The sequence below is a fragment of the Homo sapiens genome, chromosome 6 (genome assembly GCF_000001405.40).
Source record: "Homo sapiens chromosome 6, GRCh38.p14 Primary Assembly".
Taxonomy (NCBI): Eukaryota; Metazoa; Chordata; class Mammalia; order Primates; family Hominidae; genus Homo; species Homo sapiens.
In genome coordinates this window covers 84459697-84479224 of record NC_000006.12, presented here as the reverse complement: position 1 = coordinate 84479224, position 19528 = coordinate 84459697, and the positions used below count along the sequence as shown (strand labels likewise).

Genomic DNA, 19528 nt, shown 5'->3' with positions numbered 1-19528 from the left:
TCAGTTCTTCCCCTACCTGTGGAGTCTGCACACTGGATTCACATCCTCCCCTGAGTTCTGGCCAGGAGGCTTCTCCTCCCATTCAAATTGCTATAAAGTTCAGCTGGAGATTACTTTCTCCCTTTGGTTTTCCACCTCAAGCTCCTCTAGCCAACCTCCGGATGGATCCCTGTGATGCCAGGCAGGAATGGCCTGCTTGGGGACCCAGCGAGATCCCAGGGCCTTTCTGCTGCTTCCTCTACCCCTGTATTTTACTCGGCTCTCTAAATTGACTCAGCTCCATGTAAGGTAGGAAACTTCTCCTGGAAGCAGAACTTCAGTTCTTCCAGTGGGGGTGTGTGCTTGGGAGAAGAGGCTCTCCCTTTCCCACTTCTGCAGCTGGGGCTCTCACAGTATTTGGGGTGTCTCCCAGGTCCTGCAGGAGCAGTCTGCTTCCTTCAGAGGGTCTGTGGATCCTCTCGAGATTGCTGGTTTGTTCCTGCAGTCAATCTGCAGCTAAAATTCACAATGCAAGCCTCCACATGCTGCTCTGTCCATCTGAGTCAAAGCTGCCATTCAGTCCTGCCTCCCATCTACCATCATGATTCCTTTTCAATCTTGATGCCTTTTTTTCTTTTTCTTTCTGAATTTCCCTGGCTGAAATCTCTTGTATAATATTGAATGGAAGAGGCAAAAGTGGACATATTCATCTTATTTCTGATCTTAGAGAAATTACGTTTCATCTTTTATGATGAAGTGTGATATTAATATTATTTCTTCATAGAAGCCCTTTATCAAGATGAGGAAGTTCTTTTCTATTCCTAGTTTGTTGAAAGTGTTTATCTTGAAATGGTGTTGGAATTTAAAAATGCATTTTCTGCAACTATTAAGATGACCACGTGGTTTGGCATTTTATTTTATTAATATGGTGCAGTATATTTTGATTTTCAAATTTTAAGCAAATCTTACATTCCTGAGATAAATTCCACCTGGTCATAGTTGTATAATCTTTTTCATATGTTATTGGATATAGCTTGCTAGTACTAAGTTGAAGATTTTTGTGTCTTATTTTCACAAGAAATATTGGTCTTTTGGTTGTTTTGCCCCCACTTCCACCTTTTTTTTCTTGTGATGTCTTTATCTTGTTTTGGTTTTAAGATAATACTGGCCTCAGACAATGTGTTGGAAAGTGTTCCCTCCTCTTCTGTTTTTTGGAACACTTTGTGAAAAGTTGATGTTAATTTTTTGTTAAATGGTGGAATTCACCAATGGAGTTATTTTCTTTTTGGAAAGAGTTACTTCTACTAATTGAATCTATTAGCTTGTTATATGTCTTCAGATTTTCTACTTCTTTTTCAGTCAGCTTCAGCAATGTATGTATTTCTAGAAATTTATCCATTTCATCAAAGCTATGTAATTTGTAAATATATAGTTATTCATTTTATTCCCTTATAATTCTTTTTATTTCTATAAAGTGGGTAGTAATGTTCCCTCTGTTGTTTATGATTTTAATAATTAGAATTGTCTCTCTTTCTTCTTGGTCATTGTAGCTAAAGTTCAATCAGTTCTGTTAGTAATTTCAAAGAACCAACTTTTTGTTCCATTAGTTTTCTGTTGTTTTTCAATTCTTTATTTCTGTCAAATCTTTGTCATTTTTTTCCTATTTCTTCTTTTGGATTTAGTTGTTCTTCATATTTTAATTTTTGAAGGTAGAAGGTTAGGTCATAAATTAAAATCTATTCTCCTTTTTTTTATTATACTTTAAGTTTTAGGGTACATGTGCACAATGTGCAGGTTTGTTACATATGTATACATGTGACATGTTGGTGTGCTGCACCCATTAACTCGTCATTTAGCATCAGGTATACCTCCTAATGCTATCCCTCCACTCTCCCCCCACCCCACAACAGGCCCCGGTGTGTGATGTTCCCCTTCCTGTGTCCATGTGTTCTCATTGTTCAGTTCCCACCTATGAGTGAGAACACGCGGTGTTTGGTTTTTTGTCCTTGCTATAGTTTCTGAGAATGATGGTTTCCAGCTTTATCCATGTCCCTACAAAGGACATGAACTCATCCTTTTTTATGGCTGCATAGTATTCCATGGTGTATATGTGCCACCTTTTCTTAATCCAGTCTATCATTGTTGGACATTTGGGTTGGTTCCAAGTCTTTGCTATTGTGAATAGTGCCGCAATAAACATACGTGTACATGTGTCTTTATAGCAGCATGATTTATAATCCTTTGGGTATATACTCAGTAATGGGATGGCTGGGTCAAATGGTAATTCTAGTTCTAGATCCCTGAGGAATTGCCATACTGACTTCCACAATGGTTGAACTAGTTTACCATCCCACCAACAATGTAAAAGTGTTCCTATTTCTCCACGTCCTCTCCAGCACCTGTTGTTTCCTGACTTTTTAATGATCGCCATTCTAACTGGTGTGAGATGGTATCTCACTGTGATTTTGATTTGCATTTCTCTGATGGCCAGTGATGATGAGCATTTTTTCATGTGTCTGTTGGTGGCATAAATGTCTTCTTTTGAGAAGTATCTATTCATATCCTTTGCCCACTTTTTGGTGGGGTTGTTTGATTTTTTCCTATAAATTTGTTTCAGTTCTTTGTAAATTCTGGATATTAGCCCTTTGTCAGATGGGTAGATTGCAAAAATTTTCTCCCATTCTGTAGGTTGCCTGTTCATTCTGATGGTAGTTTCTTTTGCTGTGAAGAAGCTCTTTAGTTTAATCAGATCTCATTTGTCAATTTTGGCTTTTGTTGCCATTGCTTTTGGTGTTTTAGACATGAAGTCCTTGCCCATTCCTATGTCCTGAATGGTATTGCCTAGCTTTTCTTCTAGGGTTGTTATGGTCTTAGGTCTAACATTTAAGTCTTTAATCCATCTTGAATTAATTTTTGTATAAGGTGTAAGGAAGGGATCCAGTTTCAGCTTTCTACATATGTCTAGCCAATTTTCCCAGCACCATTTATTAAATAGGGAATCCTTTCCCCGTTGCTTGTTTTTGTCAGGTTTGTCAAAGATCAGATAGTTGTAGATGTGTGGCATTACTTCTGAGGGCTCTGTTCTGTTCCATTGGTCTATATCTCTGTTTTGGTACCAGTACCATCCTGTTTTGGTTACTGTAGCCTTGTAGTATAGTTTTAAGTCAGGTAGCATGATGCCTCCAGCTTTGTTCTTTGGGCTTAGGATTGACTTGGCAATGCGGGCTCTTTTTTGATTCCATATGAAATTTAAAGTAGTTTTTTCCAATTCTGTGAAGAAAGTCATTGGTAGCTTGATGGGGATGGCATTGAATCTATAAATTACCTTGGGCAGTATGGCCATTTTCACGATATTGATTCTTCCTTCCCATGAGTAAGGAATGTTCTTCCATTTGTTTGTATCCTCTTTTATTTCATTGAGCAGTGGTTTGTAGTTCTCCTTGAGAAAGCTTATCCACCATGATCAAGTGGGCTTCATCCCTGGGATGCAAGGCTGGGTGGACATATGCAAATCAATAAATGTAATCCAGCATATAAACAGAACCAAAGACAAAAACCACATGATTATCTCAATAGATGCAGAAAAGGACTTTGACAAAATTCAACAACCCTTCATGCTAAAAACTCTCAATAAATTAGGTATTGATGGGACGTATCTCAGAATAATAAGAGCTATCTATGACAATCCCACAGCCAATATCATACTGAATGGGCAAAAACTGGAAGCATTCCCTTTGAAAACTGGCACAAGACAGGGATGCCCTCTCTCACCACTCCTATTCAACATAGTGTTGGAAGTTCTGGCCAGGGCAATCAGGCAGGAGAAGGAAATAAAGGGTATTCAGTTAGGAAAAGAGGAAGTCATATTGTCCCTGTTTGCAGATGACATGATTGTATATCTAGAAAACCCCATCGTCTCAGCCCAAAATCTCCTTAAGCTGATAGGCAACTTCAGCATAGTCTGAGGATACAAAATCAATGTGCAAAAATCACAAGCATTCTTATACACCAATAACAGACAGAGAGCCAAATCATGAGTGAACTCCCATTCACAATTGCTTCAAAGAGAATAAAATACCTAGGAATCCAACTTACAAGGGATGTGAAGGACCTCTTCAAGGAGAACTACAAATCTATTCTCTTTTTTGATATAAAGATTTACAGCTACAGATTTCTCTTTAATAGGTCACTGTTTTAGCTGCATCCCACAAGTTTTGTATGTTTTGTTTTCATTTTAATTCATCTCAAGGTAGTTTCTGAATTCTCTTATAATTTCTTCTTTGACTTATTAGTTATTTAAAAGTATGTTGTTTCAGAGGCAGGATGACACAGTGTGAGTAAAACTTGACCAGTCACTGTTCACTTTGAGACAGAAGGGACCAGCCAAGAATTGTGAATAGTGTACAGAAGCTCTAAAAGGTAAGAAAATGGATTTCCTTTTAGAGCTTTCAGAAAGAAAGCACCCTTGGTGACACCTTGATTTTAGCCCAGTGACACTAATTTCAAACTTCTGACCTTCAGAACTGTTAGATAATAAATTTGTATTGCTTAAGAAAGTGTGTTGTTTACACATATTTTTGAATTTCCAAATTTTCTTCTATTATTGATTTCTAATTTCATTCCATGTGGTCAGAGAACATACTTTTATAATTTCAATCCTTTTAGATTAATAAGACTTGTTTTATGACCTAACATATGATATAACCTTAAGAATGTTCCATGTGCACTTGAGAAAAAATTTGTATTCTGCTATTTAGTATTTATTAGATGACTGTTATGTCTCCTTCATTTATAGTGTTGTTCAAGGCTTGTATTTTCTTGCTGATCTGTTAAATTGTTTTATCTATTATTGAAAGTGGGGCATTGAAGTCTCCAACTGTTATTGTGAGTTGTCTATTTCTCTCTTAAATTCTGTTTTTGCTTTAAAAATTGGGGGCTCTGCTGTTAGACACATATTTGTTTGTAATTATTATATCTTCTTGATGGATCATCTCTTGTATCATTATAAAATGTCCTTTATGACTTTAGTAACAATTTTTGTTTCAAAGTCTGTTTTGTTTCTATTGGTTACTGTTTGCATGGTATATCTGTTTCTATGCTTTTGCTTTCAACCTATTTGCGTCTTTGAATCTAAGGCATATCTTTTATAGATAGCACAGAGTTAGGTCATAATTTTTATTTATTCCACCAATCTCTGCTTTATTATTAAAGCATTAATTTACATTCAATATAATGAATGATAAGGTAGACTTTACATCTGCCATATGCAATTTGTCTTCTACATATGTTTTGTGTCTGTTTTGTTCCTCTGTCTCCATTAATGGTTTCTTTGTCTTAAATAGATATTTTCTAATTTATCATTTTTATTTTCTTGTCATTCTTTTGCTATATTTTTATTTTCTTGGTAGTTGCCCTAGTGATTAATATCACCCAAAAATCTAGTTCAAATTAATAACAATGTAATTTCAATAATATTCAAAACTGGCTTTATGTAATCTCTCCTATTTTGCCTTCTCCACTTTCTGTTGCTATTATATTTATAAAAATAACATCTTTATATGTAAGGCATCCAGCTATACAGATTTATAATTATTGGTTTTTGCAGTTGTCTCTTAAATCAGATAGGAGAAAAATAAGTTTACACATTTTTAAAAATACATTTATGTTGTTATTTATATTTGTCTATGTAGTTACCATTTTTGCTGTTCTTTATTTCTTCATGTGGATTTAAGTAACTCTCCATAGTCCTTTTATATCAGCTTGAAGGACTCCTTTTAGTATTACTTGTCAGTCAAACCTGTTAGCAGTGATTTTTCTTAGCTTTTGTTTGTTGTTTGTTTCTCTTGAATGTCTTAATTTTTCCTTCCTTTTTGGAAAGATATCTTTGAGGGATATAAAATTCTTGGTTGACAGTCTTTTTCATTCAACAGTTTGAATAAGTCATCACACTCCATTCTGACCCCCATTATTTCTGGTAAGAAATCACCTATTAATCTTATTGAGGATTCCCTATACATGAGGATATATTTCTCTCTTGCTGTTTTCAAGAATCACTCTGTCTTTGGCTTTTAAAAGTTTAATTAGGATGTAGCCAGGTATTGATCTTTTTGAATTTATCCTACTTGGAATTCATTGAGCTTCTTGGATGTGTAGATTAGTATTTGTCATCAAATTTTGAGGGTGGAGGGTTCTACCATTATTTTCTCATTCTTCCTCCTCTTCATCTCTCTGCTTACATTCTGGAATTCCCATGATGTGTTTAGTATGCTCAGCATTGTCACACAGATGCTGTTCAATGCCTCACCATCACTCTCTTAATTTTCATTTTTAATTCTTTCTGTTATTCAGACTTGATAATCACAATGGACCTATCTATAAGTTCATTGATTATTTTGGCAGTTCACATATGCTTCTCAGACAAGTTTTTTATTTGAATTACTGTTCTTTTCAATGTCACCATTTCTACTTTATTTATTTTCATTTCTTTCTATTTATTATTATTCTCTATTTAGTGAGACATCAATTTGCTTACTTTCTTTTTATTCTTTCAACAGTTTCCTTTGATTCTTGAACATATTTAAGATGCTTGATTTAAAATTTTTGCCTACTAAGTCCAATATCTGAGCTTCTTGGAGAAAGTTTCTATTTACTGCTTCTTTACAAGTATTTGCCATTCTTGCTTGTTTTCTTGCACTTGTAGTTTTTGGTTGAAAACTGAACATTTAAAATAATATAATGTTGAAACACAAGAAATCTTATCTCCTTTTCCCTGAGAGTTTTTTCTTACTGCTGTTTATTGTTGTTGCTTCTGTCTATCTAGTCAATTTCCTGAAGTCATTCTGTAAAGTCTATACTCCCTTTGGTGTGTGGCCAGTGAAGCCCCCACTCAGGCTATTGGTCAATGAGTGATTGGACAAAAATTTCCCTAAATCTTTAAGGATCTAGAATCAATAAATCTTCTATCCTTTGGCAAAGGGTTCAGTGTGTGTTTCAAGATTCAGGCAGGCAGTCACAACTCTGCTTTGCCTTTCACTTCTTGCTTATATTATACCTCAGACCTCAGGTCAGACAGAGCTGAGAGTTTAGGACTTTCTCAGATTTTTTTCTGGACATGTGCAGAAAAAAATGTATGTGGCTTACTAGATTCCCAGGAATAGTCAGACCTGATCAAAACCCTCTGTGGACATCTCATTTCCCAACTTTTCCTTATAAATATTTTGGTCAGTTTCTTGCTTGCTCCAACCCATATCACTGCCTTAGGTAGCTGCAACATAACACAATTGTTGCTGATTATTTTTGACATGCTTCCAGGGAAATGCATAATTTGCACTGAGAAAGGACAAATTTTTAGAGTTGGGGTTTCCAAGGAACAACCAGACAAGTCAAATAGTGACAATTTTCTGAGACTGTTGTTTGTATTAGTTAATTTTCACATTGCTGATAAAGACATACCCAAGACTGTGCAATTTACAAAAGAAAGAAGCTTCACTGGACTCACAGTTCCACATGGCTGGGGAGGCCTCACAATCATGGTTGAAGGCAAGGAGGAACAAGTCACATCCTACATGGATGGTGGCAGGCAGAAAAAGAGAGTTGTGCAGAGAAACCCTCATTTTTAAAACCATCAGATCTCGTGAGACCCATTCACTATCATGAGAATAGCACAGGAAAGACCCACCCCCATGAGTCAGTCATCTACCACCGGGTACCTCCAACAACACATGAAAATTATGGGAGCTACAAGATGACATTTGGGTAAGGACACAGAGCAAAACCATATCAGTGTTTCTGGGGAGCTCCAGACCAGTGCTTTGTCCCTCCAGTGGCTGCTAGGCTACTGTTTTTCAAAGCTGTTATGGTTGAGAGACTGCTGGTTTTCACATCTATGTCACAGAGTTGGAGAAAGAGTGATAGGAATAGGATAAGTGCAAATATCACAAAGGTAATGTTTTTACCCAGATTCAACTTAAAAAAAAAAAAGAAAAAACCTCTCCTTGGATTGTTGCAAGTGTTTAATGCATAAGGTAATGAAAAAAATTGATTCTGACAATTTTTTTCAGTATTTCCCTTGCTTTTACCATGGAGAATTTCTTTGTGAAGGTCCTTACTCCACCATTTGCATTGATGTGCTTTTCCTACTCTATTCCCTATTGCCTTGAAAGAGAATATTTATGACCTGAAATAATCATTCAAAAAAATCCTGACCATTAATCTTTTCAGTTATTTGCAAATAATTAAATGATTTACATATTCATTTAATAGATCTAACTTTATTATTCTTTTCTACTAAGTTGTTCTTTTTTCTCTATATAAAATATAGGTTTTCTTTTTCTCTTTATAGCCGTCGATATATAGCTAAGGATGATAACAAGCACAACAAGGACTTACAGCATTTGCTTTGCACCAGACACCATCTAAAACACTTCACAAATATTAACTCAAAGGAACCTATCATGTAAGTGTTGTTATCCCTGTTGTAGACATGAAAAAATCCAGGCACAGCAAAGTTAAAGTTAAATAATGCGCCCAAAGTCAGACAGCTAGTAATAGGCAAAGCTGGGTCTTAAACCACAGCAGCCCTAGCTCTTAGGTCTTAACCAGGACACTATACTAATAACAAATTAACCAGTCTTAACGTTGACAGTTACATTTTTAAAAAATGCAATGCTATTAATTTTTGTTAGTTTTAGAGCTACAACAACTTTTGCTGAACAAAGGAAAGTATATACCTATTTGCTGTCTTCCACATCACAAATGTATAAAAACGTTCACTATGGAAAATGTCATGAAGGAGTAACTTTAGCCAACTGATGTTACCTAAGAGGTGATAGTGTTAGGTAATATGTTAGCAAGTATATATTATATACATTTCTTAAAACAATAAGAAGTCAAAGGTACAGATACAAACCTTGGCATTTGAATCTTGAATCTATTCCAAATCTTTTCACTCTATAAAGATGTATAGTGCCAGACCTATTCTGAAGCTGTGTGTAAAATTCTACATGCTGCAATGAGATTAATATTTTTTAAAGAGTGATTTTATAGAAAGTTGGCACCAGAAAATAAGGTTCTGTTTCATTATTTTGACATAAAAGTTTATGCAGGTCACAACGTATTCTTTTTTGGAAAAAAATCTTTAGCACATGGTGAAATACACAATTTGTTGGCAAAGCCACAGTAGCACTTTTTTGGTGTAAATTTCTCACAGTCCATCCAAAATTATTTGAGATGACTTCTAAATAGAGCTAATTGATGAACAGATTAACATGAATAAAGTTCTTCATGCCAGTCTTGAAGTTACTAGTTCTCAAATAACATTGCTGATCATTTAGCCTCATAGGGCCTGCTTTATTTTTGAAATTCCTCTATACATGCTTTGCAATCAACACTTCCCTTTCAAACGCCTTGTTCTACCTTCTTTATTAAAACACCCTTTGTGTGACAGCTCACCAAGCACCTTTCTACCTCCCAAGCCTGACCTCTTTAGGAGAGGTTCCACTGTGCTTTTCTTCCCCCATTGATACTAACGACATAATGGAGGTGTTGATGTTTTTCAAACACTAAAATTGAGCAAGTCTTGAAATAACTGACCTACAGTTGATTTGGGCCAAATAAGTAATTTACAGCTTGCCTCTCTACCTTGGTGTTAACTCACTGTAAACTTCAAAGTTCTTTTGGGTACAGAGGGAAACCTGGAAAAATATTTGCATTTATAGGTTAAGTCAAAATATATATTCCCAGAGCCCCTCCCTTTGAGGAAGCCCATAAGTTTTAACATAAACTTTATTTATATGTAAGAGTTACTACAAATTATACCTGAAAAGGACTTTATCATTTAGCTCAAGCTCTACTGACAAATGAGGAAACTGAAACCCAGGGAGATGATTAACTTGCTCAAGTTGACACAAATCAGTCACACTTGAAATATGGCTGCCTAGGCTGGGTTCCTAGGACACATTTTGGAGGTACAACAGTGAGCGTCCAGGTCCAACCTAGAGAGTGATGGTAGTGCCACCAGAAGATGGCATTCCTATCATGATGATGGAAAAAAGGCCAAGTTCAAAGCCAGAGATGCATTGCAGTTGTTCATACTACAGCAAGAAATTTAGGACAGTGAGCAATGTTAGGGTTTTGAAGGCCTATTTGTAGGGAGGCTGTAGCTGTGTGGCTGGGGAAAAGCCTCATGATTTAAAGGAGTTATGTGGAACTGGACTTTGTAGAGTTATTTATACATATGTGACCCATTCTGGACATTTCCTTTTAGGAAACTGTGTTTTTCATCAAATCTCAGAAGGAACTCATATTTGGGAAAGGTCAATCCTGATCCCTGCAGCAACACCACCAATCAGTGATGCAATCCTAGGTTTATCAACAAGGCTCCTCAAGTTTGGCTGCCAACAGAAAACTTCAACTAATAGCTGTGTTGTTAGTCCCACCTTTGGTGTTTTCTAGCCATATTCTGTGTTGTAGTCAATGGCTCTATCTCTTGAGCACTAAATGTGTGAGACTGATAATGTCTTAGCATTGCTGTTGTCTTTGGAAATCCATGCAGCACTCATATCTGGCCTCCTCAGCTGGATACATCTTCTTTCCTTCACTTATTTCCCCTTTCCTTGAGGGTCAAAACGATAACAATATATATATACTTTCTGGCTCTGGGATGTGAGCATCAGTTGTCGTGATAGGGTAGAAGAAAGAATGGAGTTTGTCTATTGGTAGGAAGCAAGGACTACTCATCTGCTGGACTGATGGCCCCATAATAAAATAAGAGTGAACAAGTAACACTGGCTATCATCAGAAATAGTGAAGACCATGCAGTGTAGCTACAGAGCTGTCCTCTGTAGTAAATGCCCTCATCTCTTCAGAGCTCCGTCCCCTACACATGTATGTTTTGTCACTTCATGCCACTCGAAGGGAAGATAGCATGGTACCTTTACCTACGCCAACGGAAAGGCAGTGAACACTACTACTGAGACAGCCTTCCACCAGTTTCTGTCTTCTCCAAGGCTGATGGGTTTCCTTCAAAAGAAAATAGTTACTATGTGTAGCCTTATCAGGTCAGCAGAGTTATTGTACTGGAGTTAATGAATATCTTTTTATTGTCTCTAATGGGAAACAACTACTTGCTTTCAGCATGATGTGTACGTAGCAGAAAGAGTATGGACAGAAAAACCTGTGCATATCCAGCTGTGTGAGTTTCAGCAAATTATTTAGCATCTCTGAGCTTCAATTCCCTCATCTGTAACATAGAGAAAATAAGAGTCTATTGTGAAGAATTATATGGATTAAATAAAATGTTATTTGGTTATATGAAATGTTAATTATAGTTATAATCTGATACATATTGAGTGATTAATATATGATTATTCAGCTCCTTCCCAGTGGTAAAACAAACAACACTGTTCCTTCTCATCCATGAGGGAGAATAAGAAGAAAGGGGAAGAGAAGGGAGGAGTTTATTCCCTTTAAGGATAACTTATTTCTATTATTTAGGGATATTGTAATTCCTCTGCATTGGCAGCCTGAATGTAGATTGAAAATACTGAAACTCCTGCACCCAACATGCATCAAAAAGATGAACTTCAGGAAATAAAGAAGTGCTATATATTGTCATTATAGGAAACTATGGTAGTAGGAATGCTAGTAGATTTACCAACTAAACAGTGGAGTATAATCAAATATCTGTTCCATAACTAAACTAAACATGACCATTTAGTACATTTGTGCCAAATATGAATCATGAGATAGGTGTTTATTTACCAGCATATCTCCTTACAGAAAAGCAAATAGTGTTCCCACATAGCTAGAGATTCAACTTGTCTCACTTCCTACTTTGATAAGATATTGAACTATTTCTTTATAAAACTCCTTATGGGCTATTCAAGATTTTTCATGGATTTTTAAATCCTTAATTAAAACAAAATCCACCAGAAATAATGAAGTGGGAAGCAAAAAAAAATCATTTCATTACATAATCATTTTTAGAGTCTATTCTCTAGGATGTATTATTTTATGCAATCAAGATTTTACACATCCATAAATGGCATTCACATTCTATTTGGTCATAACTGTTACATTAAAAAATTAATTCATCTTATTTGTAAATTTGTTTTCAAGAGTATTTATCTCAAGCTACTTTTCCACAGGGTAAAAGTCTAAGATTTCTTCACTAAGATAACTTCAATACAGAACTTCTATTGTTATTTTTTGCTTTTAGTAAAAACTATTTTCCTTTATTTAATGCAACATATACTTATATTTAATGTGGTATTTTTTGCCACATTAAATATGCGTAGCTTGTTGACAGACTCAGAGACCAGAAAGGATGTATAACATTCCCCCAAAATACTGTGGCCAGCACCTAACCAAGAGTGGCCAATGGCAGCAAGCCCAGGAGGGAGCAGGTAGAGCACACCCATGCTGCAGTGGCCAGGTCAGCCTTACCCCAGCATGACTCTAATAGGTGGTCACAGTCCTCCTGGAAATGACTTCCCACGACCTGCTGTTGGCCACGATACAAGGAGTCAGATAAATGATCAGAGCTGATGACTAAGCCCAGCAGGACCGGGCTTAGCTCAGGCAGCCACATTCAGGCAGACACTGGTACAGTAAAAACACACAAAATAGCACCATCAAAGTTCACTTCCTTCTATGCTAGCGTGGTTTAATGCTTTTGGGCCAGACAGAGCATTGCCCACACTCTGAATCACAGACCATATTATAGAGAGTTTATGAAGGTCTTATGAAGGTTAAATAATTTTTCAAAGCTTTATGAACTTTAACAGTAGAAATGCCAGTTTGCTTATTGTTGTTAATCCTGAAAGTGTGAAAAAAAATCTGAAAAAAGAAGCATCTTTTTTTTTTAACAAATGCCAATTGCAGGTTTTCTGAATTCCTACACTGTTCGTGATTTATTTTGTTTTCTATATTCCAACTGTGAACCACACTAAAACAGCAACCACAGTTGGTGAAAATATGATAGTACATAATGAACATTATTTTGACTTCATGGCAAAGCAAAAAGAGCCAGGAGCTACAATCAAGTCCCATTACACAATTAATTTTGAGACAAAACTATTTATCTAAAAAATTTTAAATTTCATGTGTTTTAGCCATTTTTAATATTATTTCAAAATTTTCAGTGGCTGAATGTTTACTCTTGTATATTTCCTAAACATTCCTTATGAATTACCAATCTAATAACCAAGAAAAGTATAAACTTTTACAGTTTTCCAGGTTCAGTGAGAATACATTGAAGAGCTAGCCAGGGGACAAAAGAGATGGATGTCCCTACTTCAGTAAACCTCAGTTGAATGCTTGAGATGTGCAAAACTCAACCTGGGCTTTCTAGAGAGACAGGTGTAAATTGGTTTCTTCACTTGAAGGAATTTGTATTTAGTGGTGAAAACAAGGCAACAAGTAAATAATGCCAATTTAAAGCTGATTATGTCAAAAGCCACGGGAGGGGCACTATGCTACTGCGTATGCAAAATGCTCTTGGATCAAAGGAGACCAGAGATCTAAAAGACTCTGCCCTGCTGAAAGCTCTGACTTCACTACTTCCAGATTCTCCCAAGATATGGAAAAATATTCAGAATTAAGGTGGAAGTGTCAGAGTACCTTTACTCTAAATTGCTCAGTTAACTCACAAGTTTTTATAGATCCCATGTGATCCTAAACAATTGTGTTATGCATGCTTCCTGATCAATTTTATTGACCTCTGATAGACTGGTAAAAATAACTGGGAAAATCTGTCACAGAACAGGATGCTTGGAAAATGCTGCCATAATGACCTTTAATTGCTAGAACAGAGGCTAGTCTACTTACAAAATAAATGGAGAACCAAGGAAATCACCTGTGTGATTCAGGCAAAAATGACAACTTTGCTGAAACTGTCTGAATGGATTAGAGACATCTGATTTATTTGGATCTAATTTATTTGCATGACTGGTAAAGTTGTGTTAATCTGCATTATTTAGATGATCGGTAAGGTTGTAGTAAGCCAGGTGATGATCCACATTTCCACAGTCATAGTGGAGGAAAGCACAGTAGCATTACACCTGCCATTCTTTTATTCATTCAACATATAGTTGTCAGGTACCTATTGGGTGGTGGTGTGCTAGTAAAGGTTTAAAACCTGGCTGGTTGGAAGTGGAAGGGAACCCTGATTTGTAGTATTTGCTAATTTTCAAAGTGTTAATAGATCTACCGTGACCAATTTCAAGCTACCAAAATGAATTCACTGAACATGGGATTGGGATGAGATATGCATAGCACACTGTTATTCAGTATTTCCACCTATAGATATAATAGACATAAATAACCACAAGACCATAGACAATAAAATGTAGTAATTAGGAAATAATGGCTTTTTGGTATTTACTACCTCTGTTTTAAATATAATTTATTTAATCATCAGTTGCTATTGTTTAATTTTTAATAATGGCTGTTTGATAACCAGCTTACAATATTCCTGGGAATTTAACAATCATCTGTCATGAGCCAGCACACATAGGCTCCAGCACACCACTGCTGTTAGCTGTCAGACACCATATGCTTCAGGCAGGTGACCTTGGTGCTAGATGCATTTCCTGTCCTAATAGAGAGTGCAGTCTAGTGAGGCAGACAGATTAAAGACAAAGATTATTTAATTCACAATAGCAACAGATATTATAAAAGGGAAATAATGGGAAGCCCAGCCTTTTGTTGGGGCATGAGTGTGAGGAAATGTTAGGGAAAATGACGTCCCCGAGGGAGGGAGTGATTTAAACTCACTGATTTAAACTGAGGCTTGAAGGAGATAAGTAAGAGGCTAAGGCCAAGACTAAGATAAATGAAAAACAAAAAAGCTTTCCAGAGGAGGGAAGATCTGACCCAATAATCCTGTGTATGGATAGTAGTGACCAAGGGAGACAGCAGCAATCTAGCTGAGATGGTTAATGGGCAGACCATGCATAACCTCTTACATCCTCTTTAGCATTTGATTCTTTCCTAAGATAATGGGCAAGCATTGCAAGATTTAAATAATAGTAAGCAGTTGACAAGTTTATATTCATGTGTAAGATTACTTGGTCCACTGGGGGAAGAATGGAACAATTATGAAAATAAAGAACTTCATTAGGAAGTTATTGCAGTATCTCAGATGCAAGAGTCTAGTGGCTTGGATTAAGCTGTTGTCAATGGAGAACGAGAAATAAATAAAAGATCTGTTTTGAAGACAGGACTGAAAGACTTGTCATGGAAAAGAAAGCTCATGGTCACCAATATCCATGTTTCTTCCCCTTTTCTTAGGTGCATAACTAAACTACATTTTCCAGCCTTCTTTGAAGCTAGGTGGGACCATGTGACTGAGTTCTGAACAGGGGTATATTTGTATGAATGTTATGCCCAACACTTCCAGGCAAGTTCCATAAAAATTTCTCACATGCAATCCCTTCATTCTTTTATCCCTCCCACAGTAATCTCAGAGGCCACATGCTGAACATGGCCTATCCACAGTGTGGAAGAAGCCTTGGATCCTGAGCCACTGTTCTGACAACCAACCAATTTATAGAAGAGAGCTACATAAGTAATAAGTCCATTTTATTGTGTTAAGCCATAGAGATTTGCATGGGGTCAGTGTAAAGGGTTGATTTTGAGACTTCTCTTGGCTTGTAGGCAACTGCCATCCCACTGTGTACTCACATGACCTCGTCTTTGCATGTGGAGAGAGGGAGAGCAAGCTCTCTGGTGATGCTTCTTGTAAAGGCACTAATCCCATGATGAAGGCCCCACCCTCATGACTCCATCTAACCCTAATTACCCCCCAGAGGCCCCATTTCCACACATTACATTGGTGGTTAAGGCTTTAACATATGAATCTGGAAGGGACATCAACATTCAATCTATAACAACAGCCAACTAAAGCTCTTAGAGAAGGAAGTCAGCTATGCTGAAAGCTGAGAAATAGTTAAAAAAAGATGAGTACTAAAATTGCCCATTGGAATTGACAGCACGGGGTCATTAGAAACTATAGTAAAAGCAACTTTAGTAAAGTAGTGGGAATGGAAACCAGCTTCGGGTTTATTGGGAAACAAATATTGTATGAAGATGTGGAGAAGTTTGACTGTGAGAAGAGAGAGGAAAGGTACCTGGAGTGGTTATAGAGCCCATGGAGAATTTGGGGGTTTGGTTATTTTTTACATGGTATAGAATGTTTCAACACTCCAGTAGTGAGGAGAAGATAGGAAACATGAGTTTTCCCTGAGAATATGCCTAAACGCCAGTGAACATGAATATTTTCTATGACTAAGCTGAGCAGAATGTCTTACCCCAGACAAAGCCCAAGAAAAAAATAAGAAATAAATTCCTTAAGCATTTTGCCAGGGAATGAAAGTCCTGAAAAAATTGCTAGAGGATCTTCTGCTTTTCAAAGAATATTTTCCTTAAAACATTTTATGTTTAGTCACATTTGAACTTTTCAGGAAAAGTTGTTACTGGAAATCATAAAACACTAGTCAGTGGTAAACTTAGATATGCTTTCAATCTCTGAGTAATTGCAGTATAAGCCATCATCCTGATTGTTTGTACTCCCTCTTGGATTTTTGTTTTGTTTTGTTTTTGGTTTCATGGGGTCAATTTAAAATCCAAATTTATATTTCTTCTCACCAAAATTGCTGTATATGCCCAGTAGTCCAATGCAAACACTTTAAAAATTACATTTGAGAGAACCTGTGGTTGTAGACCGTAGGAGTTCAGGGCAGTATTAAGTCAAAGGAATTTTCATATCCATAAAAGATGGTTTGCTAAAGCCCTGCTAGTACCACCACAAGAAAGAAAGCAACATGTTATACCACATCCATTTTATATGTAGATATTAAAATCCCTTCTTGTTCATCCCTTTAAATCTCTCACCCACCCTATATATATTAAGGGTTGTCACATTCTGTGTCATTATCTTTCCTTTTTTGCCTTCACTATCATGACCCCTGTTCAGGCTTCCACTACCTCTCACCTGACTCAATACTATGTCCTGAATTGTTCTCTAATATAGAAAACATTCTGGGTACTGTGTGCATGATAGGGTGCCTAGTGTTATTTACCATGAAAGCCCTACTTCTCTGGGTGACTTAAAATCTTTGCCAAACTCCTCCGACAAATCTGCTGGAAGACATCATCTCTTCGGATTAATTATTTGCACAACAATGTTAGGATGTACAACAGTTGTATGTGTTTGCTGTCTATGCATTTTTTAAACTTAACTGAGGAAAACCAGATCTGCTGTTGAAGGAGCTCCTGGCTGGCAATTTCAGGCCTGAGAAATTGTTGCAGCAAAGTTAAGAGATGTGACTAACACTTCAAGTCATATCAAGAAGAAGGTAGTCATCACTCAATCAAATAATTCTTTCTTTGGAAAATAACCTGAATTATTGATACTTGATATTGCTAGGATTGCTGCATTTAAGACTACGCAATTTACAAAGCTCAACTTTAAGAATTGCTACCCTCCATTTTCTGACACTGTCAGTAAGGTTATATTCACTGTTCGTTTGATCTATAATGAAGCACATGAACTTTGCGCTTAAAACAAACAAAAATTCCCGCTCTGTGGGTTAGCTGGGCTGAGATGGGTGATTCTTCTGCTCCATATGGTGTTGACTGAGGCTGCTTATGCAGCTGCATACATTTGGAAACTCATCTGGGCTGGAACAGCCAATCTGCCTCACTAATATGTCCAGGACTTTGGTGCTGATTATCAGGTGGAGTGCTTCATTATTTCTCCATTTGGCCTCTCTCTCTAAATTGTTTCTCATTATTCATTAAGAAGTTCAAACTTCTTACAAGATGTCAGGCATTCAAGTGAGAAAAAGGATAAGCCATCTGGCCTCTTTAGGTCCAGAAGTAGCACAGAGTCACTTTTGCTGCATTGTATTGATCAAGGCCAGCCCAGATGCAAGGGGAAAGAGGAGAGTCTCCATCTCTTGAATGGAGGAGTGTCATGTACGAACAAGCATAAGAGACACAAAGTTGGTGGCCTTCTTTGTAGATCATCTACTACATCTACTATTAGACCTTAAGCTTATAAAACTCCAGTTAATTCCTCTTCCACTAGGCTTGGATATTTTAGTTATTTAATAAAGAATATGCAACCAAATTCTACTTGAAAATGGATTATCTATCATGACTCAATAAAGAGAAAACTTGCTATATATCCTTTGACTTGACAAGAGATGCTCAGCCATTATGAGATTGTCACTGAAGTCCTCTCAATGCCAACCCATTTGTTAAGAGCATGAAACCTTTCTTTGCTATGGTGGGCAATAAGTAAAGCATTGTTTTATAAACCTTCTGAATTAAGTGGATTTTTTTTTACAGTAAGCCATAGCACCAACAAATATATAAATATTCTCTTATCTTTAAAGGTTAGTCAACTGGAAAATTCTATGAGTCTGTTATTCTAAAACATTGTATAAATATTACTCAGGATTGCTTTCCAAATTCAAGCTCAGATATTTTAGATAATGCCTTTTTTTCCCCTGCCTACTTTTAGTTTGACTTCAAACAATTGGAAATCTTTTAAAGACAGAGAGTTATCTTATGCAATAAAGAGTGGACATTGTGTCAATATCTCCTGTAAGGAAGAAAAACAGATTAGATTAGTTGTCTATGTCATTTTCTCATGACTGGGTTTTAGCAATTTTTTTCTTTTTTTTTTTCAGACTATTACAAGACTTAGCCAAGTCTGTAACAATGAAGGAAAATGTTTGAGTGTGAGAACTTCTATCAGTGCTTGGGATTTTAAAACCATCTGAGAAGTTAGGATAGATTTTGAAAGATACAAGGAGTAAATACTTTCACAATTAACTCAATGGGATTTGGGTGATTAAAAAAAGATAATTTTGTGTGGGGAGGAAGCGGATTCTTCCTGAACCTCTTCCCTACACCATATAAAGAGCATGGAATAATTCAGCTCCTGCAGACAAGGTAGTTACAAATTATTGAAAATCTACTCTGAACCAACTGCTCTACTGAGTGCCTTATGTACATGATTTCCTAGCAATTCATGGGCTATTCCTCCATTTTACAGATAAAGAAATTAAGGCTCAGTGAGGTCAATTGTCATGCCTGAGTACCTTCTAGCAAGAGTCAAAGCTCAGATTTGACTCATGTGTTCCTATCTCTAAATCCAGAGCTGCTTACATTATGCTATACTGCCGTCAAAACCGTAAATGAATTAAAATCATGGTAATAAGGTTTCCTGCAAGTATCTCTTATTTCCAGTCTCACTTCTCAGTCTTTTAGATTCTCTCAGTTCAAATTTTTGTTCAGGCTCCTTTCTTTACTCTTCCTCTTTAAGCTTAGGTTCAAAGGAGGCTCTCAAACAGAGTCGGGTAGAGGAAAATGTAGATGGTATACAGGGAAGAACATGCTTTTTCCAATTTTCTGATTTCTGGGATGGGTCTTGTGGTTCTTCCTCAAAACTTTTGTCTTTAGCATTGTGAAATTTGGACCTTGAGGATGCTGGGGATTTTAGCATTTGATGTGTAGCCTACGTTTTTAATGCATTTTT

General features: G+C 36.6%; 2 long non-coding RNA genes across 3 annotated transcripts in view; one reads left to right on the top strand and one right to left on the bottom strand.

Moving 5' to 3' along the window:
• Window positions 1-19528, bottom strand: part of LOC107986620 (uncharacterized) — a 175866-nt gene that overhangs the window by 49433 nt on the left and 106905 nt on the right. The window lies entirely within an intron of this gene.
• LINC01611 (long intergenic non-protein coding RNA 1611) overlaps window positions 4296-19528 on the top strand; it is a 53902-nt gene continuing 38669 nt past the window's right edge. Inside the window, exons 1-2 of the long non-coding RNA NR_132100.1 lie at window positions 4296-4398; window positions 8321-8434. This is a non-coding gene — a long non-coding RNA (long intergenic non-protein coding RNA 1611). The remainder of the gene's footprint in view (window positions 4399-8320; window positions 8435-19528) is intronic.